Consider the following 9,287-nt stretch of genomic DNA (forward strand, 5'->3'; position numbering starts at 1 on the left):
GGGAAATTCCAGGGAAATAGGGAAGCAAACCCCAGAGGTACCTCCAGCCAGTGAATTGACTCCCTCCATTCCTCTCTATCTAAGTTCTCTTGCAAACTCACTTCCACCTAGGAATCCTCAGATTAGGCAGGTCCCACTCTCACTCCTGCCCCTACAACAGATGCCTGGTGAATATGGCCCCATTAAAGTCCAGGTCTTCTTTTCTTTACAGGACTTAAGGCAAATTAAAAGGGATTTTGGCAAGTTTTCAGACAGCCCTGACATGTATATAGAGGCTTTCCAGAACATAACCCAAGTATTTGAGCTCTCCTAGAAAGATGTCAGGTTCCTTTTGAATCAAACCCTCACCACTGCTGAAAAGCAGGACACCCTGTAAGTGGCAGAGAATTTTGAGGATGAGCTTTATATCTCATATAGGGCCAGGGAAGAGAAGGAGCCTTATCCAATTGGAATAATAGCAGTACCATTGGAAGACCCTAAAAGGGACCCCAAAGATGAAATGGGACCATGAACGAGGAAATATTTCAGGTGTGAAAAAGCAACACCCCAAAGATTCTGTAAAACTACCACAAGAACAGTATGGGGAAACTGCCCCCCTGATTCAATTATCTCCACTTGACCCTGCCCTTAACATGTGGGGATTATTACAATTCAAGGTGAGATTTGTATGGGTGGCAACTCAGCCAAACCATATCACCATGGAACCAATAGTTCCTGCAATTCCTTATCCCTGGGGCCCAGGTGATAACCTTCCAACATCTACCTGAAGGGCTGCAATGTCACCACAGCAGCTGGATCTAGCACCGCAGCTGTGACCTCGGCACCCAAGCTCACACATTGCCCTGCATCTCAAGGAACAGGTGGTTCAGCACAGCAGGGAGGCTGACCCCAGGACAGAGGGAGCCACCATGCATGTTCCCCATGGCCTGGGAGCCACCTGCTCAGGGCTTGTGCTGCCCCTGCTGGTGCCCTTGCTCCTCCAGTGCAGGACTGCCACGTGCTCACTTGCACCATGGAAGGACCCAAGGACTGGCTGCCTGTGGCCTGCCACCACCCCTACCAGTGACTCTGTCCCTTCTAGTGGTGGAGCCATCATGCATCCATACATGATGCCCAAGAGCTCAAAGACCAGCCTGCCTGGAATCCCTGTCCCCAGCAAAGCCATGCCATAGCCTCCAAAAACAACCACAACTTAAGCCACTGAGACACTCACAGACACTGCTGATGTTGATTACATCAAAATAAATCATACACAGACTACATGACTGTGTCCACCCAGAACCAAAGCCAAAGCACCATAATCAACTGACTCCAAAGGATACATCTACAGGAAAATGTCTTTCCGTACGAAATATACTTCTTAAGATTGGAAAAAGCAACTCTTCCATCAGATGCACAGAAATCAACATAGGGATGCAGGAAACATGGAAAAGCAAAGAAACGTGACATCTTCAAAAGAACACAATAGTTATCTAGCAACAGACCACAAAGTAAAGGAAAGCCATGAAATGCCTGAAAAATATTTCAAAATAATGATCTTAAGGGAACTCAGTGAGATGCAGGAAGGCAAAGACAGACAATTCAGGAAAACAAATTCAGGAAAATAAAATCAGGAAAACAATTTATAATCTGAATAAGAAATTCAACAGAGGTCAATATCATCAAAAACCCAGAAATTTTGGGACTGAAGAATTCAATGAATAAAGAAAAGATGCAGTTGAGGGCTTCAACAATAGAGTAGATCAAGGCAAAAAAATAATTTCTGAGGCCGAGCGTGGTGGCTCATGCCTGTAATCCCAGCACTTTGGGAGGCCGAGACGGGCAGATCATGAGGTCAGGAGATTGAGACCGTCCTGGCTAGCATGGTGAAACCCCTTCTCTACTAAAAATACAAAAAATTAGCTGGGCGTGGTGGTGGGCGCCAGTAGTCCCAGCTACTTGGGAGGCTGAGGCAGGAGAATGGTGTGAACCTGGGAGGCAGAGCTTGCAGTGAGCCGAGATCGCACCACTGCACTCCAGCCTGGGCGACTGAAGACAGGTATATTAAAATACAGAAGTCAGAGAAAAATAAAGAAAAAAGAATGAAGTAAGCCTATGTGACACATGGGATGCCATTAAGTAAAAATGTTTTTGCATTATGAGAGTTCCAGAAGGAAAAGAGATGGGACAAGAAATAAAATTATCTAATGAAATAATTGGAAATTATGCTAGTTCCACAGGGTCCATAGTGATAGGGACATTCAGATACAGTAAGCTCAAGACACCCACATAGATTTAATCTAAAAAAGTCCTTTCTGAGGCACATTATAGTCAAACAGTCAAAAGTGAAAGACAAAGAGGGAATTCTAGAAACACCACATGATCTCACTCATATTGGTAGCTAAAAAAGCTGATCCTATAGAAGTAGACAGTAGAACTGTGGTTATTAGGGGCCGAGACAGGTAGTGGGGGAGGTTAGAGAGAGGTTGATTAACAGATATAAAATTACAGCTAGATAGGAGGAATAAACTCTAATGTTCTATAGCATTGCAGAGTGACTATAGTTAACCATAATTTATTGTATATATTCAAACGCTAGAAAAGAGAATTTTGAGTGTTCTCAGTACCAAGAAATGATAAATTGCCAGATGACGTGGCTCATGCCTGTAATCCCAGCATTTTGGAGGGCTGAGGCGGGTGGATTGCTTGAGCTCAGTAGTTAGAGTCCAGCCTGGACAACATGGCAAAATCCAATCTCTACAAAAAATACAAAAATTAGCTGGGTGTGGTGGCAAGCACCTGTAGTCCCAGATACTCAGGAGGCTGAGATGGGAGGATCGCTTGTGCCCAGGAGGTGGAGGTTGCAGTGAGCCGAGATCATGCCACTGCACTCCAGCCTGGGCAACAAAGCCAGACTCTGTCTCAATCAATCAATCAACCAATAAATAAATAAATAAATAAATAAATAAATAAATAAATAAATAAATGTGTGAGGTACCAATTACCCTGATTTGATCATTGTGCATACACATATATCAAAATACCACTCTGGGCCAGGCATGGTGGCTCATGCCTATAATCCCAGCACTTTGGGAGGCTGAGGTGGGTGGATCACCTGAGGTCAGGAGTTTGAGACCAGCCTGGTCAAAATGGCAAAACCCCATCTCTACTAAAAATACAAAAATTAGCAGGGCTTGGCAGGTGCCTGAAATCCTAGCTACTCAGGAGGCTGAGGCAGGACAATTGTTTGAACCCAGGAGGCAGAGGTTGCAATGAAAAAATCACTCTGTATCTCATAAACATGTACAATTATTACATACTAACTAAAAATAAATAAATAAATAAACCTAATGGCTTCCATTCTGTTTTCCATAGAGACAGCATCTCACTATGTTGCCCAGGCAGGTCTCAAACTCCTGGCCTCAAGTGGTCCTCCCACCTCAGCCTCCCAAAGGGCTGAGATTACAGCCATGAACCACTGTGGCCAGTCCTGGCTTCTATCCTAATGGCCAGAAATATCAGATAAAAATTACTCCAAATGCCTTTCCATAGTCTGAAGACCATCAGTGCCAGAGGCTGACCCTATTAAGTAAGCTTTGATATGGAGTTTCTTTAAATATTTCACAAATACTGTTAAAAAAAAAAGACGAAACCAATTTGGGAGAAATGGTTTAATATCTACCCAGTAGAAGAGACTAAAAATTATGTGTATATCTTGTGATTAATTTTAAAGATTAGCTTTTTTTCTCATTATAAATGTGACACATTTATAATGAGAAATTATAATGAATCGAATAAGCTGAGCTTATTCGATTCATTCTGCAAGACAGTTTTAACTATAGCAGGTGTCTACAGCTGCCCAGGTGCTGTGTAGAGCACACTGCAAGTTGTTTCTTTAGCTTGGAGGCTTTATAAGGAGAATAAAGCGCTGTGTTGAGACTATCAGAAAACGCCCTCAGTGAGAGACACAGGCTGCTGTGGTATACAAAACACACCAAGATGACATGAGGTAGAAATCACCATCAGACAGGAATTCCTTCTGTGTGCTGGGTTCTCTAACTGCCCCTCCCAGGATGAGTAAAAAAATACTGCCCATGATACCTATGTATACAGAAAGTTCTAAGGGTGGAAATACACAGGGCCTCGTGGTGCCAAAACCATTTCTTTGTTTAGCCTAAGCCCTTTCACATCGAAGTTTCAAAGCTGTGTTAACCCCATCCTCCGTGATGCCTGCTTCCATCCACACACCCCTGCAGCTCTACTTCACCCCTTCTCCACCTTGCCTACTCTTTCTTTCCATCTGAAAGTTGTCCAGCAGCCCCACTCACAGGAAACTGATAGCCTGTGTGGTACTATCAGGTGTATTGTTTTTAAAGCTTTATGCAATATTTTTCCCACCACATTATATACAAGTCCCACAAAACCAGAACCTTTACTCTTCCATATTTGAATTCCCAACAACTAGCAGAGTACCTGACATTAGGTAACCCAGAGAAGTTTGTCAATTGATTTATATTTGTATTTTCTTGGTAAATTATTAACATCTCTGCTTTTCAGCTACTTCTTTAAATGAAATGTATTAAAATGCATTACCCAGATTTTGATCATAACAATATGTTTTCATGTTTTAGTTTCATTCCATAATCAAAAATTTAATTATAGTGTTTATATTTTTATTTGTGAACTTGACATCTCCTTCCACATACAGATAATGGCAAATCTGTGAATCTAATGTGAAAGCTAAATTAAAAGTTTCTTTCAAAATTATTCAATTCTAATTCTTGATGGATGAGTTCTTTGCCTTTTTAAATTTAAGCTGAGGGATTTGAAAATTGACCTTTATTTAATTGCGTTGTTTTGTTCTAGTTATGTTAATGCAAAATATTAGTTTGCAAATGAAGAATGGATTCTAGACTTACTACAGTAAATTGCATAAACACTGAAATATTTTGTCAGCTGTGAACTGTAATAAAAATTATTTTTCCATCAAAAGCCATTTTCATTTTTAATACCCATCATTGTACAAAAGTACTTATAACTATTTCTACTAATTGGTGTTAAGGTAGGCTGACTCTAAGATGCAGAAGGTCTGATTAGAGTTAGGAGGATGACATATCCTTGTTTTCCTGGGACAGTCCCAGTTTATGTCTGTTATCCTGAAGTGAGTATTTTTTTTTTTTTTTGAGACAGAGTCTCACTCTGTCTCCCAGGCTGGAGTGCAGTGGTGTGATCTCAGCTCACTGAAACCTCTGCCTCCTGGGTTCAAGCAATTCTCGTGCTTCAGCATCCCGAGTAGCTGGGATTACAGGCGTTCACCACCACGTCCGGTTAATTTTTGTATTTTCAAAATGGGTTTCACCACTTTGGCCAGGCTGGTCTCAAACTCCTGACATCCGGTGATCAGCCTGTCTAGGCCTCCCAAAGTGTTGGGATTGCAGGCGTGAGCCACCATGCCTGGCCTTCACTCTCAAAAGTATCCTAGTTTGGATGATCATCTGTATGGCCACTCTAGTTATACTGCCAGTTCTAACCAGCTGTGTGGCTTTGTGTAGGTTAGTTAACTTTTACTGGGCTCAATTTCCCCATTTTTAAATTGAGGAGGTAGACCTATGTAGGACCTCAGGTCTGTTTGGCTCTATTTTTATGACTTGCAAAGAAATCACTGGCAGGTTTGAGAGTTGTTGTATCTTATAACTCTCTAATACTCAGGAAAAACACACTCCTTTGCTAAAGAAATTTACAGAAAAGCTTTCTTAAAGCAAAAATCCCAATGCAGCTTTCTGACCAGACTCTGATGTGCTGGTATTTGCTCAGCTCTGTGTGGCTCACCTGCTCTTGTAAGGGTGGCAAGCCTCTCAACAATCAACTGTCCTACGCAGACCTTCAAGTTACATGAACTTTACATCTCTGGATCGAACCAGGGGAAAGAGGAAGACAGTGGGGGAGGAGCACAAAGAAACAGCATGAACCCACTGCAAGCCTGGTAAAGGAGAGCTGCACCACCAACAGTGAGGCGAAGAGCTTGTGAGGCCACTGTGGGAGGAGGCTGAGGGCTGCTTCTGTGAGTCAGTTTGTGAAGAATAGGACACCTACTAAAGAGGGACTTCGCACCTGAGTTTCCAGGATATTTGAGATCCACAAAAGTAATATTAGAAATCTATTAATTGTTCAATATTTTGAAATTCCAGGTGGAAATTGCTCATCTGCAGCACTTGCCTTCTTAGGTTATCGAGAATATTAGATCCCTGTGATTTCAGACAGAATTATGTGACTGCATTTTGAGAATGATAGAACATGAAACATAAGCTGACACAATTAAGCCTGGTTAAGACAATCCACTGATCACTGAAGATCCGCTGAGCTTATTTGATTCATTCTGCAAGACAGTTTTAACTATAGCAGCTGTCTACGGCAGCCCAGGTGCTGTGTAGAGCACCCTGCAAGTCGTTTCTTTAGCTTGGAGGCTTTATAAGGAGAATAAAGGGCTGTGTTGAGACTATCAGAAAGTGCCTTCAGTGAGAGAGACACAGACTGCTGTGGTATACAAAACACACCAAGATGACATGAGGTAGAAACGAGCATCAGACAGGAGTTCCTTCTGTGTGCTGGGTTCTCTAACTGCCCCTCCCAGGATGGGTGAGGGCATTGTTTTTGTTTGGATGTCATTTCTTCTAAGAAACAGAAATTCCCTGGAGTGTGCCATGGGCCTTGCCCTGTGCAGTCTCCTCTGTAATACTTGGTTCTTGCTTCAGGGTTTTCACAACTAACTACAGAGAGTTCTTGGATTTGGTTAAGGCATTTTCTCAAGGTGCAGTCGCTATATATAAATTCTTTTTCTATTGTTTTTCACACTATGTGCTCTGAAATTTGCTGAATGCCTGCTTTGCTAGGTGCAGAAGTTAGTGTTTCTTGTAGAGTAAATCTGACAAAGTAGACAGAGGCCCCAGGGCAGGTTGTGGAGAGTAATAGCAGCTGAAGGTGACAGAGCAAGGTCAGCTTGGGCCTTGGGGGCCAGGCGAGGTTGAAGCTGGAAATTAGAGGAACCAGGGTATACCAAAGATACTTAATTCGAAGAGTGACAAAATAACTGGGCGCCAAATTAAACAGGGGTAGAATTATTGGGTCTTAAATAAAAGTGTTATTTAAAGCTCTTAAGGGGTCTCATGCTAAAACCTCAGACTGCAGGCAGAGGGATGTTTTCCCAAGTGGTCTGCAGGACTCTGTTGTGGGAGATATTGAGGACCCAGAAAATGGGTCCTGCCTGCAGATAAGTTTGGGAAACTTCTTCTTAAAATGTCCTCTTTGTGATTAAAATCTCATATTGGTGTTTTGAAGAAGGAAGATTTTCTACACTAAAGAAATCCATTTAATTTTGTTTGCAACATAACCTCTTAAGGTTATTACAGAGCAGAATTCCTGCTCACCCGTGTGTCACACAAAGAACAGCAATGAACATCCTGAAAACTCCCGCTTACCCGTGTGTCACACACAGAACACCAATGAACGTCCTGCAAAACTCCTGCTCACCAGTGTCACGAACAGAACACCAATGAACATCCTCCAAAGCTCCCGCTCACCCGTGTGTCACACACAGAACAGCAACGAATGTCCTGCAAAGCTCCCGCTCACCCATGTGTCACACTGAAAACCAATGAACGTCCTGTAAAACTCCCGCTCACCTGTGTGTCACACACAGAACACCAATGAACGTGCTGCAAAACTCCCGCTCACCCGTGCGTGTCACACACAGAGAACACCAATGACCGTCCTGCAAAACTCCCGCTCACCTGTGTGTCACACAAAGAACAGCAATGAACGTCCTGCAAAACTCCCGCTCACCCGTGTGTCACACACAGAGAACAGCAATGAACATCTTGCAAAAATGCCACTCACCCCTGTGTCACACACAGAGAACACCAATGAACGTCCTGTAAAACTCCTTCTCACCCGTGTGTCACACACAGAACACCAGTGTACATCCTGTAAAACTCCCGCTCACCCGTGTGTCACACACAGAACACCAATGAATGTCCTGCAAAACTCCCGCTCACCCGTGTGTCACACACAGAACAGCAATGAACGTCCTGCAAAACTCCCGCTCACCCCTGTGTCACATACACAACACCACTGAACATCCTGCAAAACTCCCGCTCACCCGTGAGTCACGCAGAGAACACCAATGAACGGCTGCAAAACTCCCGCTCACCCGTGCATGTCACACACAGAGAACAGCAATGAACGTCCTGCAAAACTCCCGCTCACCTGTGTGTCACACAAAGAACAGCAATGAACGTCCTGCAAAACTTCCGCTCACCCGTGTGTCACACACAGAGAACAGCAATGAACGTCCTGCAAAAATGCCACTCACCCCTGGTCACACACAGAACACCAATGAACGTCCTGTAAAACTCCCGCTCACCCGTGTGTCACGCAGAGAACACCAATGAACGTGCTGCAAAACTCCCGCTCACCCCTGTGTCACGCACAGGACAGCAATGAACGTCCTGCAAAACTCCCGCTCACCCATGTGTCACACACGGAGAACAGCAATGAACGTCCTGCAAAACTCCCGCTCACCTGTGTGTCACACAAAGAACAGCAATGAACGTCCTGCAAAACTTCCGCTCACCCGTGTGTCACACACAGAGAACAGCAATGAACGTCCTGCAAAAATGCCACTCACCCCTGGTCACACACAGAACAGCAATGAACGTCCTGCAAAACTCCCGCTCACCCGTGTGTCACACACAGAGAACAGCAATGAACGTCCTGCAAAACTCCCGCTCACCTGTGTGTCACACAAAGAACAGCAATGAACGTCCTGCAAAACTCCCGCTCACCCATGTGTCACACACGGAGAACAGCAATGAACGTCCTGCAAAACTCCCGCTCACCTGTGTGTCACACAAAGAACAGCAATGAACGTCCTGCAAAACTCCCGCTCACCTGTGTGTCACACACAGAGAACAGCAATGAACGTCCTGCAAAACTCCCGCTCACCTGTGTGTCACACACAGAGAACAGCAATGAACATCCTGCAAAAATGCCACTCACCCCTGTGTCACACACAGAACACCAAAGAACGTCCTGTAAAACTCCCGCTCACCCGTGCGTGTCACACACAGAGAACACCAATGAATGTCCTGCAAAACTCCCGCTCATCTGTGTGTCACACAAAGAACAGCAATGAACGTCCTGCAAAACTCCCGCTCACCTGTGTGTCACACACAGAGAACAGCAATGAACATCCTGCAAAAATGCCACTCACCCCTGTGTCACACACAGAGAACACCAATGAACGTCCTGTA

The 9,287-nt window shown here is 44.1% G+C and overlaps 1 annotated feature.

The window, feature by feature from the left end:
- Positions 8,369–8,870: an enhancer, noted in NCBI's record as "H3K27ac-H3K4me1 hESC enhancer chr2:67739-68240 (GRCh37/hg19 assembly coordinates)". NCBI's record gives its function as "activates a minimal SCP1, AML or CMV promoter by ChIP-STARR-seq in primed H9 embryonic stem cells {active_cell/tissue: H9 hESC(primed)}" and the evidence as "EXISTENCE:reporter gene assay evidence [ECO:0000049][PMID:30033119]".

Source organism: Homo sapiens, chromosome 2 (genome assembly GCF_000001405.40).
Source record: "Homo sapiens chromosome 2, GRCh38.p14 Primary Assembly".
NCBI lineage: Eukaryota > Metazoa > Chordata > Mammalia > Primates > Hominidae > Homo > Homo sapiens.